This window comes from Homo sapiens, chromosome 2 (assembly GCF_000001405.40).
Source record: "Homo sapiens chromosome 2, GRCh38.p14 Primary Assembly".
Lineage (NCBI taxonomy): Eukaryota > Metazoa > Chordata > Mammalia > Primates > Hominidae > Homo > Homo sapiens.
The window spans coordinates 75,190,165-75,208,018 of record NC_000002.12 but is presented as its reverse complement, the minus strand read 5'-3'; the positions used below and the strand labels follow the sequence as shown (position 1 = coordinate 75,208,018).

Here is a 17,854-nt window from a genome sequence, read left to right as displayed (position 1 = left end):
TAGAATCTACATGTAACTCAAACAAATCAGCAAGAAAAAAATAATAATAATCTCATCAACAAGTGCGTTAAGAACATGAATAGACAATTCTCAATAGAAGATATACAAATGGCCAACGAACATGAAAAAATGCTCAACATCACTAATTATCAGGGAAATGCAAATCAAAACCACAATGTAATATCACCTTACTCCCGCAAGAATGTCCATAATAAAAAAAAATAGATGTTGGGCCAGGCGCAGTGGCTCACACCTGTAATCCCAACCCTTTGGGAGCCCAAGGCAGGCGGATCACCAGAGGTCAGGAGTTCGAGACCAGCCTGGCCACATGGTGAAACTCTATCTCTTCTAAAAATACATAAACTACCCAGGTGTGGTGGCACGTGTCTGTAGTCCCAGCTACTTGGGAGGCTGAGGCAGGAGAATCGCTTGAACTCAGGAGGCGGAGGTTGCAGTGAGCTGAGATCATGCCACTGCACTCCAGCCTGGGCAACAGAGCAAGACTCTGTCTCCAAAAATAATAATAAGAGATGTTGGCATGGATGGGGCAGAAAGGGAACACTTTTACACTGCTGGTGGGAATGTAAACCACTGTGGAAAACAGTGTGGACATTCCTTAAAGAACTAAAAGTAGATTTACCATTTGATCCAGCAATCCCATTACTGGGTATCTACCCAGAGGAAAAGAAGTTAATATACGAAAAACTTTTGCAAATGAAAAAATATGAAACCAGAACAAATGCCCATCAATCAATGAGTGAATAAAGAAACTGTGGTATATATATATGAGATGGAATGCTACTCATATATATATGAGATGGAATACTGCATTCACAGTAACCCGGATGAGATTGGAGACCATTATTGTAAGTGAAGTAACTCAGGAATGGAAAACCAACATCTACTAGAGGCCCATCTCACATGCAATGACACCCACAGGCTCAAAGTGAAGGGATGGAGAAAAATCTACCAAGCAAAGGAAAACAGAAAAAAAGCAAGGATTGCTATCCTAAATTCAGACAAAATACTTTAAAGCAACAACAATCAAAAAGACAAAGAAGGGCATTACATAATGGCAAAGGGAGTTCAATGGAACAAGAAGACCTAACTATCCTACATATAGATAGATATAGATATATATCTCACCTTATATGTCCTATATATATATAAATAATCTCTTAAAACATAAATATATAGGATAGTTAGATCTTCTTGTTCATATATACATATATATATATATATGAACACCCAGATTCATAAATCAAGTTCTTAGAAACCTATGAAAGATTTAGATAATCACACAATAATAGTGGGAGACTTCAACACCCCACTGTCAGTATTAGACAGATCATCAAGGATGAAAACTAACGAAGATATTCAGGACCTGAACTCAACACTTGATCAATAGGAACTAACAGAACTCTCCATCCCAAAACAGCAGAATTTACATTCTTCTTAACTGTACATGGCACATACTCTAAAACTGATCACACAATCAGCAATAAAACAACCCTCAGCAAATTAAAAAACAAAAACTAAATTATACCAACCACATTCTTGGACCACAGCTCAATAAAAATAGAAATCAATACTTTAAAAATTGCTCAAAACCATACAGTTACATGGAAATTAAACAACCTCCTTCTGAATGACTTTGGGTACAACAAAAATGACAATGTACAATTGTCATTTGGTATAATGACAATGAAATTAAGGCAGCAATCAAGAAATTCTTTAAAACCAGAAAGAATAAAGATACAACATACCAGAATCTCCGGGCACAGCTAAAGCAGTGTTAAAAGGGAAGTTTATACTACTAAACACTCACATGAAAAAGTTAGAAAGATCTCAAATTACCAACCTAACACCACACCTAGAGAAACTAGCAAACCAACCTCCAGACTAGCGGAAGACAAGATATAGCCAAAACCAGAGCTGAACTGAAGGAAATTGAGATGTGAAAAGTCATACAAAAGATTGAGTCCAGCAGTTGGTTCTTTGAAAGAATGAGTAACATGGGTAGAATAGTATCTAGACTAACAAAGAAAAAAAGAGAGAAGATCCAAAAAAAAACACCCCACACAATCAGAAATGACAAAGGAGATGTAGGGTTATTTCTAACCCTACAGAAATAAAAATTTTAAAAAACCTTTAGAGACTACTATGAACACCTCTATGCATACAAACTAGAAAACCTAGACAAAATGAATAAATTCCTGGAAACATGCAGCCTTCCAAGATTGAACCAGGAAGAAATTGAATCACTAAACAGACCAATGAGTTCTGAAACTGAATCAGCAATAAAAAGCCTATCAATCTGAAAAAGCCTAGGACCAGATGGATTCACAGCCAAATTCTGCCAGATGTATAAAGAAGAACTGGTACCATTCCTCCTGAAACTATTCTCAAAAATTGAGGAGGAAGGACTTCCTAATTCATTCCTTGAGGCCAGCATCATTCACATACTAAAACCTGGCAGAGACACAACAAAGAAGAAAACTTCAGACTAATATCCTTGATGAACATTGATGCAAAAATCCTCAACAAAATACCAGCAAACCCAATCCAGCAGCAAAACTAATCCACCATAATCAAGTAGGCTTTACCCCTGGGATGTAAAGTTGGTTCAACTATGCAATCAATAAATGTGATTCATCACATAAAGAAAACTAAAAACAAAAACCACATGATCGTCTCAATAGATGAAGAAAAGGCTTTTGATAAAATTCAACATCCCTTCATGTTAAAACCCCTCAGTAAACTAGGTATTGAAGGAACATACCTCAAAACAATAAGAGGCATCTATGACAAACCCACAGCCAATATCATTCTGAATGGGGAAAAACTGGAAACATTCCACTAGAGAACCGGAACAAGGCAAAGATGCCCAATGTTACCACTCCTATTCAACATAGCACTGAATGTCCTAGCCAGAGCTACCAGGCAGGAGAAATAAATAGAAGACATTCACATAGGAAAAGAGGAAATGAAACTATCTCTGTTTGCAGATGATACCTATAAAACCCCATAGTCTCTGCCCAAAAGCACCTAGATCTGATAAATTCAGCAAAGTATCGGGATACAAAACCAATGTACAAAATCAGTAGCATTTCTACATACCAACCACATCGAAGCTGAGAGCCAAACCAAGAATTCAATCTCATCAAGAATAGCCAAAAAATGAATAAAATACCTAGGAATACAACTAACAAGGGAAGCGAAAGATCTCTACAACAAAAATCTCTACAACAAAACACTACTCAAAAAAATCAGAGATGACACAAACTAATGAAACAGCATTCCATGCTCTTAGATACGAAGAATCAGTATTGCTAAAATGGCCAAACTACCCAAAGCAATTTACAGATTCAATGTTATTCCTAACAACCAATGACATTCTTCACAAAATTAGAAAAACAATTTTAAAATTCCTATGCAATCAAAAAAGAGCCTGAATAGCCAAGGCAATTCTAAACAAAATGAACAAAGCTAGAGACATCACATATCCAACTTCAAACTATACTACAAGGTTACAGTAACCAAAACAGCATACTACTGGTACAAAAACAGACACATGGACCATTAGAACAGCACCTATTCAATAAATGGCGCTGGGATAACTGGCTAGCCATATGCAGAATACTGAAACTGAACCACTTCCTTACACCATATCCAAAAATTAACTCAAGATGTATTAAAGACTTAAATGTAAAACTATAAAAACCCTGGAAGATAACCTAGGATATATCATTCTGCACATAGGCCCTGGCAAAGATTTCATGATAAAGATGCCAAAAGCAATTGCAACACAAACAAAAATTGACAAATAGGACCTAATTAAACTAAAGAGCTTCTGCACAGCAAAAGAAATTATCAACAAAGCAAATGGACAACATATAGAATGGGAAAAAAATACTTGCAAACTCTGCATCTAACAAAGGTCTAATATCCAGAATCTGTGAAGAACTTAAATTAACAAGCAAAAAATAAACAGCCTCATTAAAAAGTAAGCGAAGGACATGAACACTTTTCAAAAGAAGACATACCCATGGCCAAGAAGCATATGAAAAATTGCTCACTATCATTAATTATTAGAGAAATGCATATCAAAACTTCAATGAGATACCATCCCATATCAGTCAGAATTGCTATTATTAAAAAGTCAAAAAGTAACAGATGCTGGTAAGGTTTCAAAGAAAAGGGAACACTTGTATACTGCTGGTGGGAATGTAAATTAGTTCAGCCATTGTAGAAAGCAGTGTGGCAATTTCTCAAAGAACTTAAAACAGAATTACCATTTGACCCAGCAATCTCATTATAGGGTATATACCCAAAGGGATACAAATTGTTCTACCATAAAGATACATGCACTGATATGTTTATTGCAGCAACTATTCACAATAGAAAAGACATGGACTCAACCTAAATGCCCATGAATGGTAGTACACTGCATAAAGAAAATGTGGTACATATTTGTATATATACCACATATATAAATGTGGTATATATATACACGTGTAAATGGAATACTACACAGCCATAAAAAAGAACAAGATCATGTCCTTTGCAGCAATATGGATGGATCTGGAGGCCATTATTCTAAGCAAACTGAAGCAGGAACAGAAAACAAAATACTGCATATTCTCACTTATAAGTGAGAGCTAAACGCTGAGTACGTATGGACACATAGAAAGGACAACAGACACTGGGCCCTACTTGTGGCTGGAGGGTGGGAGGAGGGTGAGGATCAAAAAACTACCTATCAGATACTAAGTTTATTACCTGGGTGACAAAATAATCTGTCCACCAAACCCCTGTGACACAAAATTTATCTATATAACAAACCTGCACGTTACTCCTGAACCCAAAATAAAAGTTTTTTAAAAACCATGCTGGTGTCTGTGTATGTGCAAATATATGGGCAAATTGCAAATAATTCATGTTTTCGCTTTAAAAAGTAATACATGAAGTTGGTATAGACTCTTAGTTATTTGTATAAAATATAGGAAATAATTCAAAGAAACAAAACTTTATTTAAAACTTTTAAAAATAAACAAATATGAATAGAAACTCACAACATATATATGCATATGCATAGGAATATAAATATAATCTACTTCCCAGCAATTCCACTTTGAATCTACCCCCATAGAAAGAAAACACCAGGATGTAGAGAATGTTTATTGTTAATTGCCTTTAGTGACAAAAACTGGAAACAAAGTTAATTTTCATGAATAGAGAATTGAATGTATAAATTACGGTGTATCCATAACATAGAAATAATATTTAACCACTGAAAAATGAGTTAAATCTATACCTGTTGACTCTGAAACAGCTGGGCAAAGTTTAGAGTGGGAAAAACAAAATACAGACAACAATGAAAGTCCTATATTTGCATTTACATGTGTGAATATTATGTATGTTTGTATTTCCATCTAGATAGTATCAAAGAGTCTGGACAAATAAGGAAGGATTTATACTACATTGTTAACAGCGTTTACTTTAAGATGTGTGATCCTGTGTTGAGTGTCAAGGAAGATGTTCAGTGAAAAGAGGAACGAAGGGGGAAAAAGGATAAGAAAACAAGAATATCAGCTCTTGGAGGGAAATAGCATGTATAGAATTTTATCTATATATTTGTGCAAAGCTGTAGGGGGAAAATTCATTACTTTATAGATGGGTGATGCTAGATAAAGTGTCTCCTCATATCATAGGTATGAACCAAAAACAACTTCTGCTACTGTATAGCTGAGGCTTTTTTTTTTCCTCAATGGTGAACCCATCATGAATATGCTTTTTCTTTTTAAGAAGAGAAACTAGCTTTAGCAAGTCATAAGGATTCCTAAGATATGGCTACCAGCCATGAAAATCCCGGAGTAGAAAGAAAAACAACCCCAAGTCAGACTCATCAACACATCAGAGTTGAAGGCCAGGGTAAGGAACGTAGGTGTCCCAGTGCCTGGCACCAGTTCCACCATTTGAGGTGGCTTTGGACTGGCATACAAAGCCTCAAAGTTAGCCGAGGGCTAGGCAGGATGGAGGCAGGGAGAGAAGGCGGGCTGACCTGCGCTCCAGTCCCTATGCAAACCTGGAAGGTGAGCAGGGAGAAGAACCCCTGATGCCACCCAGGGCCCCGCTCTGACCTGCAGGCTCATAGGTGGGCAGTCATTATGGGACTTTAAGCAGAGTGACAAGGTTTGATTTATAAAACTTCAGCCTGAAATATTCGCCTTTTTTCCACCCTCAACCTCTTCCCATCCTAACTCATTCTTCAGGCTTCTTCATGGATGAGATTTTCTTCCATCTGTACGGATACCCCTCATTGTTTAGGTTAGGTGGCCTCCCTCTTCTCTCCTCACTCAGGGCTTAGTACCTTTGGTCATCATAATACCGCCCATTTTGTATGGTTCATTGCTTCTTGTTTGTCTTCCTCCATACTGTAAGTGCTTGTTCACCCCCCAGCCCCAGTGCCCAGCACAGTACCTGCTTCAAAATATCAACTTGCTGTACTAATGGAGGATAAATGGATTAATGTTTACTTTTTAGCTATTTCATATTTATTTTATATTTAGCTCTTATTACATATTTAGATTTTATTCGATTAGCTTTCTTTTTCTCCCTTAACCACTGAATAAAGTTCCTTTTGAAAACGTCAGCCTGGCTCTAATGGACAGGGAGAAAAAAGAAAAGATAACTTTAAACAGCTTGGAAGGAAAATTAAAGATAGAGAAGTTTCCCCTCCCCCCTCCCCCACCCTCCGCATCCCCTTCCCTCTCCCTTTTCCTCCCTCTCTCTGTCAGCTCTTTGAGATGGTGGAAGCCTCAAGCAGAGATCCAAGGTGGAGGAGGCATTCCCTTCCACAAAGAAGACCTCTTGTGCAGCCGCTCTAAATAAAGGGACGCTGTTCTCTTGAAAGCATCTCTAGAGTTTTCTATGCAGTGTGTTTACGGGTGCCTAGGAGAACCTGGCAAAGCAATGTGCGGTTCCTATATACGCTAAAATCCCAGGCTCCGAAAAAATACAGAGTGAAACAGCAGATTCTCCTCCCCGGCGTGGGATCCAATTTTTGCCCGGCATAAGTGTATAGTAAATTTCCCAGCCTTAAAGCACTTCCCGAGAGATGCTTTGAGCGCTCGCGGTACCAGTGCGTAAACGCCGCTCCCCGGCTGGCGCGGGTGTGCGCCAACTCCAACCTGCGCGCAAGTCTGCCGGTGCGCGCTCCAGTCCCACAGCTCCGAGTCCCCGCAGTGAAAGGAGGGGGCGGTGCACCGGGGTAGATGGGCCCCTGAGGACTCCCGGGGTTCAGTTTTCCGCGGAACTCTGCCTGCAGCAGTCTGGCGGGAACGTGCTGCGGAGCTCATCCCATCTTGGCTTCTCCAAAAGGGTTTATACGGACTGGCGAGTCTTTGCCCTGCCTCCTCCAAGTGTCTGGCACCAGTTCTACCGTTTGAAATGGTCTTGGACTGGGATACGAGGCCTCAAAGTCAGAAGACGGCAGGGCAGGATGGAGGCGGGCAGAGAAGGCTGGCTGACCTGTCCTCCAGCCCCTATGCAAACCTGGAAGGGGAACAGGGAGAAGGACCACCGATGCCACCCCGAGCCCGGCTCTGGCCTGCAGGCTTGGCAGGCGCGGAGGCGGAGGCTGCCAGGTCCCCGGGAGGCAAACGCAGCGCCGCAGTGATTGCTGGCGGAGAGCCCAGAGCCGCGCGTCTGAGCGACAAGCTGCCTATGAGTGTGGCTCCTGCGCTCACCAAGATTCGCAGGGAGCTCAGCCCTGTCCCCAGTGATTGAGCAGAGGCTCATCCAGAGGGGTCAGGTGGAGGGCTCAAATGGAGCTTCTCCTGGAACGAGGGGCCAAGTCACCAGGGTGGCTGAGGAAAGTGTCCTCAAAGCTTAGAGACTGTCACTTCCCAGGTGAATCAGCTAGCCAGGTAACTGAGCTAGATATTTTGTGGGGGTGTTTCCTAAACACAGCCTCAGGAAAGTTGTTTTCGGGACACCTGGACCAGGGAGTCGTCGCCTCTGGCTTCTCGGTAGCTGGAGCGCGGCCCGGAGCGCGGCGCTGGCACATCGCCCCCACACATGACCGTTTCCCATTGCCACAGGCAAGCCGCCTCTGCAGAGCTGTCTCAGGGCTCTGGGCTTCATTCCCTGGAAGTTGATTGTCCTCCACTCCAGCTGTTTCCCAAATCCTTCCTTCCTCCCAGCACCCCTCGTGCAACGACGATTCCAGCTGCGGACCGCATCTGTGTCAGTTACTTCCAAGCCACCTACTGCCCCCTCGCGGAGTGCGTGGGGCTCCCGGCTCGCAGACTCCCACGGCAAGTAGCAAGCAGCAAAAGGCGTGGTAGCTGCGGCGGTGGAATGAGACAGTTGTCAACAGCTGGCGCAGCTGCCGCGCTGCGCACCGGGACTGGCGAGTACGCAGCCCAGGTACTGCCCCTTCCCAGTGACGTCTCTGCAGGGGGTTATAAAAGCCTCGTGCGCAGCTAACTCGCGAGCTGAGCAACCCGAACCGAGAGGTGCCCGCGAAACTGCAGGCGGCGGCAGCGGCAGCAAAAGAGAAGGAAAAATCTCCAGCTGGATACGAAGCTCCAGAATCCTGGCCATAGGCTCAGAACTTTTACAGGTCGCGCTGCAATGGGCCCCCACTTCGCTCCTAAGTCCTCACGCAGCACAGGGCTTTGCCTTTCCCTGCGGAGGAAGGAGAAATAGGAGTTGCAGGCAGCAGCAGGTGCATAAATGCGGGGGATCTCTTGCTTCCTAGAACTGTGACCGGTGGAATTTCTTTCCCTTTTTCAGTTTACCGCAAGAGAGATGCTGTCTCCAGACTTCTGAACTCAAACGTCTCCTGAAGCTTGAAAGTGGAGGAATTCAGAGCCACCGCGGGCAGGCGGGCAGTGCATCCAGAAGCGTTTATATTCTGAGCGCCAGTTCAGCTTTCAAAAAGAGTGCTGCCCAGAAAAAGCCTTCCACCCTCCTGTCTGGCTTTAGAAGGACCCTGAGCCCCAGGCGCCAGCCACAGGACTCTGCTGCAGAGGGGGGTTGTGTACAGATAGTAGGGCTTTACCGCCTAGCTTCGAAATGGATAACGTCCTCCCGGTGGACTCAGACCTCTCCCCAAACATCTCCACTAACACCTCGGAACCCAATCAGTTCGTGCAACCAGCCTGGCAAATTGTCCTTTGGGCAGCTGCCTACACGGTCATTGTGGTGACCTCTGTGGTGGGCAACGTGGTAGTGATGTGGATCATCTTAGCCCACAAAAGAATGAGGACAGTGACGAACTATTTTCTGGTGAACCTGGCCTTCGCGGAGGCCTCCATGGCTGCATTCAATACAGTGGTGAACTTCACCTATGCTGTCCACAACGAATGGTACTACGGCCTGTTCTACTGCAAGTTCCACAACTTCTTTCCCATCGCCGCTGTCTTCGCCAGTATCTACTCCATGACGGCTGTGGCCTTTGATAGGTGAGATTAGCCTTTGTGAAAAGGCGAGAAAGTGCTCATAGAGGACCACGGCATTGCTGTGAGGTTTGGAACTGGGTGGGGTATGGGTCAAGTGGAAGATTGGCCACTCTGAGGGTTTTTTTACTGATCAACTGAGTCATTTGTTGATGGGGAACTTCATCTTATGTATTTCAACTTTTTTTCCTCTTTTTTACCCATCACTCTCTCTCTTCCTTTCAACACACATCCCCCTTTTCTTCATTTAACTCCCCTTTCTTCATCTCTTCTCCACTCATCTTCCTGACACTTTCAACTTCTGCTTTGCTCCTTTCCATATATTCCTTCTCCCCTTTACCCTTGCAGGCTGCAAACAATACCTAGGGTTTGGTCAAAGGACTAGACCCTGGAAGGGGCTTTGTAAATTCCTCCAGGCCTGTTTTTCTGTCAGACAGCCTCTTGTTGCCTTCCTGTTTTAAGTACACCTAGAGGATTCTGGGACTTTCTGCTCCCACTGCAACTCTCCAGTTTGTTGTTGTAGTTGTTGTTGTTGTTTGGTTGGTTGGTTCGTTGGTTTGTGTTTGTTTGTTTGTTTGTTTTGGATGTGAAAGAGCATTTCATCAGTATCATAAGATACTCAGAATTCTAATGCAGTTTACTCTGTAATGCTAGGAATTCTCATTCAGGAATGAGAGACAGTTATGCTATCCTTAAGAAACTCCACGGATAGGGATCCAGGAAGCTTACCCAAGAGGTGTTCTAAATTTCTCCTGCAATGTAAAATGTATGTATTTAGCCTGTCTCTATCCACAGAGAAACATGCTTGGCAAAGGCATTTGAGAGCTCTTCTGTTCCGGCAACCAACAGGTTAGGGTTCCCAAAGCTGACTGAAAGTGAAAAGGTTGGCATTTCAAACACTGGGGATGGTATTCTGGAATGAATGGCTCTTCAGGTAGCATGATGGAAAATTGATTATTGGAGCACAGCTCTGTTGGTATTGTCTCCTTTGTGAGTATCTTAGGTCTCCAATGTGTATGTCTATGTGTGCACAGGTGTTAAATGTTTACCTGGGATGTGAAAGTATGCTTAAAACACCTACCACTGTGATTTTAAAATGGAGTCTTTTGATGTCCTTCCTGAGATAACTGAATGTGAGAAACCCAAAGAAGGAGCTAGGAGAAAACTTCAAAAAAAATTCCAAACTACTAACCCTCTTTGCATAAAGATTGTTTATAACTTGCAAATTATTAGAAGTCTTTTTTAGCTCCTGTAGTCAATGAACACTTTTAAAATCAGGGAAATCTTCATTTCCATCCTTTGCAGTGGTGTCCAAATACTGATTTGTTAGTTCCCTGTACATCTCTCTATATGCAGCTCCTATGTGCTTACTATGTTTTATGTAAAACAAATTGTGGAAAATCAGTTTGTATTTTAAATGTAGATGGTAAACCAATTACTCAAAGTGGGAGTGAAATGAATTATTTTGCAAATTTATCTTTTGTACTACACTGGTTTTCAGATATTCAGTTTGCTGAAAGTGAGGTACACCTGTAAATCTTTCTGCATTGACATGCTCCTTTAATCTCATAACAGCTTCCTTAAACTTAAAAAAGTCGATAGCATGATATATAAGTGAATATCAGGGTAGTGAAACCTGATGCCAGTTCAGCCTTACAAACACTCTCTTGATGCCCCCTAAATTAGAGGGCAAGTTTTTTGGGGGGTTTTGTTTGTTTGTTTGCTTTTTCTGCACTGGGGCTTTGCACAAGCTCTAGGAAGACCTGTCAGTCAGTGTGAGCTGGAGCATTCAGTAGCTGATGGAGCACCAGCAGACAGCTCTCTCTTTTGGCTTACACAGAAACATGTTCTGCAGCCCTGATCTTTCCTCTGGAACTTAGAAGGTTAGGGGTGGGGATGAGAGTCAGAGTCCGCACAGTGGATTGGGCAGGGAGCCAGATTTCAGCTCCGTTGTTGTTTTTCTCTAGGTAAACCACCGCAGAGCCCCGACCCTCTGTGATACCTGCTCAGTGAGACCAAAAGGTCTCGGATGCCAGAGCTTTAGGAAATGACAGCGACAGGGAATGTCACCATGTTTCCAACATGCAGATACAGCCCAGGGAGGTTACCAATGGCATTCCTAAGATTAGAGTTCAAGGTAGAATTAGGGATGAGACTTCAGGTCTCTGTCTCCATGTCTGCCAAGTGCTCCTTCTATTTTTTCTTGCTCAGCCTGGTGAGCACACTATAAACTCACCCCCTCAGGCCTTCCAATGAATATATTTCCTGCATGTGTGGTCATCCATTCTCTCCCAAGAATGTATTGGAAAGAAAGGGGGCTTTAAGTCCTCTCCCTGTAAGTTATCTCCCTTTTCTCCAGCATGGAAATGCAGACTTAGAGGAAATATTAAATCAGCTGTTTGTATATTCCTTGAATTTTTAACAGACAACCTTTGAATCAAGTCTTTAAAAATAACAGCAATGTGGCTTTCCTGATTGTAAAATTAAACCTGTTCACTGCAGAAGACTTGGGAAATATGAAGAGCACAAAAATCCAATCCCCCTTACCTAACCGACAAGAAGCAACACCTGCTAACCTTTGAATTTCTCTTTTATGACTATTATACTACATAATTGAGGTTAGATTCTATATAATTTTGTAGCCTATATTTTTCCATTGGTATTAATGAAAGACTTTAATAACACCTTCCTGTGTTATTCAAAAGTTTTCAGAAACATAATCTTAATGGCTTCATACTATTCTATTATGTGAATATGCTATTATTATTTACGTAGTCATTTCTCTACTGTTGTGTATTTAGGTGATTTCTAGATTTTTGCTATTATAATTAATAATCTAAGGAATATTTATATATGATAATTTTGTTTTGCCTTCTTGATTATTTTCTTAAGATAGATCCCAATAAGTAGAATTACTACATCAAATAAAATGAATTTTTAAAAAGCTATATCTTCTCATTTTAAAGGATTTTTAAAGGAATTGTTGAGTCAAACTATCTTGGTAAACTTTGTCAAATTTCCTATTAGAATCAAGATATATGCGGAGAAAAACTTCAGTTGCAGATTGCAGTACTAATTTAAATGTTTCCTGTAGTCTTTCTACAGGAAAGGTGGGGTGGGGTCAGGGAAGGAAAAAAAGGGATGGGGGGAAAGGAAGGGAAGGTAGGAGAAGGAGGGAAGAGGGAAGAAAAGTGGGAGGTGGGAAGGGGATAGGAGAGGAGGGGAGGGAAGAAATATCTCCATTAGAAAGAGTTTTATTTTTTGAAGGCAGCAGTTACCTAGAATTTAAAAATGTTTCAGAGACAAATGTAGCTAAATAAGATCAGGTTTACCTCTATCTAAACTCCAACAAATACCAGGGATTTTAGCTATTGAAACTCTATAATTTCTCTGACTTAGAATTTAAAAATTCTTTACAACTATAAAACTAAAAGGTATGTATGATGTTTCATGAAATTTGAAGATGGGGGACACAGAGAGGTGATGACTCCCCCCTCAACAGCCCCGTTCCCCTAACCCCCATTTTCAGGAGTTGGTGACAATTACTGGTTCTATTATGATGCTCTGGCAAGTACTGTGGAGCAGAACCTAAGAAGGGAGTAGAGGAAGGGAGGCAATCTCCAAGCCCTGCAGGGAGCTGGGGAATGGGCAACAGATAACCTGATTTGAAACCATGCACATAGCAACAGGAGCAACAGCGAGGTCCAGACAAGCACTGGCCTGGTATCACTGTTTCTCTACCTGGTAGGGGCAAGCATAATTTCAGCAAAATGAAAGGTAGCAGTTGCTCACTCAGACTCCAAATAAAATGGTCTCTCTGAGACCAAAAAATATAGTTGCCCAGAGAGAGTAATGGTTGAAGGCAAAAGAGGAATTGAGCTCTCTGAGAGAGCTGATAATGTAAAAGAGGAACCTAGAACAAAAACATGAATAAATCACAAAAACTTTGTCCACTGAACTCGTGTCTACACACTCTGTCCCAGCCATACTCAGCTACCAATTTAAATATCCTGCTTTCCAGGTCTCTATTAGACCTGCACTCTATCCTTGAACTTTACCTTGTTGGTTGAACTGCAATCTCATTGTTTATCTCAGAGCAGTCTTCCCTCACCCCACCTGGAGGGGGAATTAAATTCCAGGATCCTTTGCACTAATTCGGATGGCCCTGGAAACCCATTACCATGCACTGCTGTGATGCTGTGAATGGCCATTCACTAGAAGCTCATTGGCCACAACTGGCCCTGTCTTTTCCAATGTCAGCATTGATGTGGATCAAAATGGAGTTTGTTAATTCTCAGATGGGTCATTTAGATTTCAGGGCCTTTCTTCAAGAGGTCCAATGCCCACCTCCTCTCTGGAGCTGCTCCGTTACACTTGCCACACTCTCTCCCTACTCCTGGGAGCCTGCAGTGTCCTGAATGGTCAAGGGTGTTACTTTTTTAAAAAACTGGAAGAAATCATAGTTTGAATTGGAGGCAAATAAAGAATAATTCTCAAAATAAAAGCACATAGCACAAGCACAAGACACTGTTACTATTATTGTTGCTGAATTAGAGTGAGGATCATGAGACAGAAACACCATCAAACTTAGATAAAGATATTCAGTCTATCAAGTGTTGATGCCATCAAGGTAAGGTGAGGTTTCCTAACTCACAGCCTTGTTTATTCCCTCAAAGGGCTATATATGAAGGCAAATAAGACTGATTTAGAGGTAACTAAAATATAAGGTATTAAGTAAAATGTTTCATATGGGTTGTACAGATATATTCCATAGGAGACAAGAGGAGGGACATCCTGCCCAGCAGTGATGAATGATCAAGGAAGACCTCAAGATAGGGCAACTGAGTTAGGCCTTGAAGATTAGATAAGATTTTTAGAGAAGTTGATTAAAAAAAAAAGAAATGACCTTTCAGGTAGAAGAAGCTGTATGACAGAAGCATGGAAGTCAAATGTTGCAAAGTGCCTCAGGTCAATGACAGACTGATTCAACCGAAGTGAATTCACAGGTGAATCAGGGAATGAATTGAGGAGTTGCCCAGAAAAATATGAGAATACTCTATGTTGAATTTGACATGAAAATATAACGATTAGTTGGAATGCCCGACAAGAAACTTGAGAAGTGAGGCTAGAGAATGACAAGCCAGGGATCAAAGAGACAATATCAGCAGAGAATGGTAAGAGGAAATAAAATTAGATGGCAGTGAAGGGAATGATCTCTTTCCTCATCCATCCGTCCATCAAACCACTATTGAGCACTTACTGTGTGCCATATTCTGAGGCAGTAAGACATTGCCTTTGCCATTGTGTCTCAGTCTTTGGAGATTAACAAGGTCACGAACAGCATATAACCCAATGCAATCAATGCCATGCAGAGGGAGCAGAGTTAGAGCAAAGAACTCCCTTGGGAATATGGGAAAGACTTCCTGGTAAAAGGAGAAGAAGAAGGAGAGGGAGGGCAGTAGGGGAGAGAGGATGGAGGGGAGAGAAAAGAGAAGGAGGAGACAGAATGAAAGAGAATGAAGAGAAAGAAGAGGAGGAAACGACAAAGAGGAAGAGAGGCAGCAAGGCACAGGGAAATGAATGTGGAGTTTTGTGTTTTAATTAACTTCAAGAACACTGGATTGGGAATACTCATAATAATTTATTAATATCCATCATTTGGAAACTAGAAAGGAAGTTTTATGTTAATAAAATTGATAATGATATCTTTTATTTATGTTCCCTCCAGTCCATTGTCTCATTTAATCTTCATCATGCCAATGAGGATTCTGTTTCAACCTGGAAGAGCGATTAGAAACAATTTCTTTTAGCATTGTCCTCCCACTCTCCACCCCCTCACAGCTTGAAGACCCATGCAATTTGCTTTTATGTGCCTTAGACATCTGCCTACATGCTCCTGCACTTGGTGGCTTTTGGATGATACCTCATTTAAGGAAAACTGTCATTGGAGGCAGAAAAGCAATGTAAGAGTCCTATCACACAAGAGAAAATACTAGAGGCCTTTTTGACAATTTTCCACCCAAATAAAAGTTCAACCCCTCAACTTTCCAAACAGGGCCATTGTAAGAGTACCAAACTCTGCTTAAATATTCTACTCTATTTTTCCCATTTGTTAAATTCAATAAATTATTAAATCATCACAGAATTCTTCCTTTTCTTGAAATGAAATTTGCCTCTTTGGTTTTGGACTATTCCTACTTGTCTCAGGCCTCTTCCACGTAGCAGGCTTTCCAGTAAGTATAAGGATAAGGTATTAAGCTTCTATTTATCTTGAAGCATCCCCAGCTCTGGTTAACTGTCCCTGGTTCCTCCAACTTTACATCATCATCATTAGTCTCTACTGGTTATTTCCATTTGTTAATGGCCCTCTTAAAAGGAGATGACCAGAACAGAGTTACCTTACTACCATCACTCTGTCTAGCATCACCTAGACACCTAGGACTGGCATCCTCCCTAGTGACCTTGCTGTCCTCTTTGACTTAGCTCAGTGCTTATACTAAGATGCTGTCCTAGACCTGCAAGTCTAGCTGAGGGGTCCTTATATTTCCACAGCATTTATCCCGTGGTGTTGCAACTGTCTGTACCTTGTCTATCTCTCCCACACCTCCCTGCTTACTAGATTGCAAGCTCCATGAAAACAGGGATCCCTTATTTTGTTTCCTGTTCCCAGAACCTATCCAAGTGCCTGGCACAGAGTAGGTACTCATTAAAATGTGTGCGTCATGAGCAAACTGACCATGCTTCTCTTCTGCACACATCAGCCAAAATCTAAAAACCAGACCCGATGCCTCAAGCAGACCGTATAGCACACTTACGATGCTGTGCCTTGATGCAAAAGAAAAACTGGGCCAAATTTCTCCCTACCATAAAGGTTTGTTACAAAATAGAATGCTTTTGATTCAGAACCCCCGTTCTAGAATAACCATGGTTTCTAACTCACACTTACTTCTTCCACACTCCAGTTGACTGAGCCCCACAGGATACCTGACCCACACCTTGCCACCCTCAACAGGTATTGTGCCCCAGGAAAAGACTTCCGATTGGAGGAGGTGCTTATCATTACCATCTTACCTCCCGTCTACCCAAGCATACCAGAAACTCAGAGAGATGAAAATGATAAGCACCTCCTCCATCTTATGGACCCTTCTCTGGCCTAACTGCTGTCAACCCCCTGGATTTTTCTCTAACACCCCCCACTAGCAGCAGGTGCACTCTCTCCTTTACTTGTCCTTGCTGAGGTGAAACCAGGAGAAACCTACTCTCCACCCAGCCCTCCAACTCCTGCATTGTTCACACCATATAAAAATACGATAGACACAGGAAAATTCCAGCATGAAGTGGTGCATGTGAAGTCCCACGTATGTGAGACTGACTGGGGAACTGGCTTACATTGCACCAAACTTCTCTCTTGCCACCTTGAGAGACTTCAATTCCACCTCAGTGGAAGGGGAAATATGAAGCTCTCTGGATGAGGAGCACCAAAGATGAAGAGGTGCTTTATGATGACCTGGAGACATACGAATCAGCATGAGTTTTAATGCTACATATGAACTGCTCAAGGAAATTAATTTGTCTAAGCAGCCCTGGGCCTAATCCCCTGCCCTTCTCTTGTATAGTTCTTAATCTACTTTCCAATTCAGCTTTATCACTATGTTTAATATTTGGGATTCCCTGTTGAGTGCCTTTCATGTCTTTTGTATGAGCGCACCCTTTAATAAACTTACTCCTAGCCTTTGGCAGTAGAATGGTTAGGAAAGAGCCCAGGCGATGGGTTCCAGTGCTGGTTCTACCACTTAGTAGCTATGTGTACATATGCAAGGTATTTAACCTATCTGGGCCCCCAGTTTCCTCAACTGATAAAATGGTTATAATGAAACTTACCTTGTAGAAGGTAAGAAGAGAGGGAAAGATTTGAAAAGTCTGACATCCACTAAATACCACTAAAATACCAATTAATAGTAATTAATATTATGCCCTCTAGTAAACTCTGACACACAATCATATCCATTATACGTGTCCATTCTTGTCTCAGCCTCCTCCTGGATTCCTTCTACATCAAGTACAATAGCTACAGGGTAAAACATTTATGTTCTTCCCCCTAAAGATGGTAGTTTAAAACTGTCCTGACTGGGTCAGCAAATCTCTTGCTAAATGCTTTTCAACATTCTTTCCATCTTTGGAAATGTACACACAGTCTACCAGTAGTCCATCATTTGGATATTGTATATCATGGTCCAGAAAACCCAAATGTTTTCTTTTACACCATCCCCTAAGCATTCATTTCCAATCCTTTATGTCACAAAGTCACCACCCTTATATGGAGTGAGCATCATTGTTTAATATCTGAATGAGAATGTGTTCATTGCAAAAAGCTCTTATAGCTGCGT

General features: G+C 41.7%; 1 protein-coding gene and 1 long non-coding RNA gene across 4 annotated transcripts in view; one reads left to right on the top strand and one right to left on the bottom strand.

Annotated features, from left to right (window-relative positions):
- TACR1-AS1 (TACR1 antisense RNA 1) overlaps window positions 1-17,854 on the bottom strand; it is a 125,490-nt gene that overhangs the window by 71,789 nt on the left and 35,847 nt on the right. The window lies entirely within an intron of this gene.
- Window positions 8,499-17,854, top strand: part of TACR1 (tachykinin receptor 1) — a 153,058-nt gene continuing 143,702 nt past the window's right edge. For both annotated transcript variants that reach the window (NM_001058.4, NM_015727.3), the window contains exon 1: window positions 8,499-9,473. In NM_001058.4, the coding sequence (NP_001049.1) occupies window positions 9,085-9,473 (389 nt within the window). In that variant the 5' untranslated portion in view covers window positions 8,499-9,084. The remainder of the gene's footprint in view (window positions 9,474-17,854) is intronic.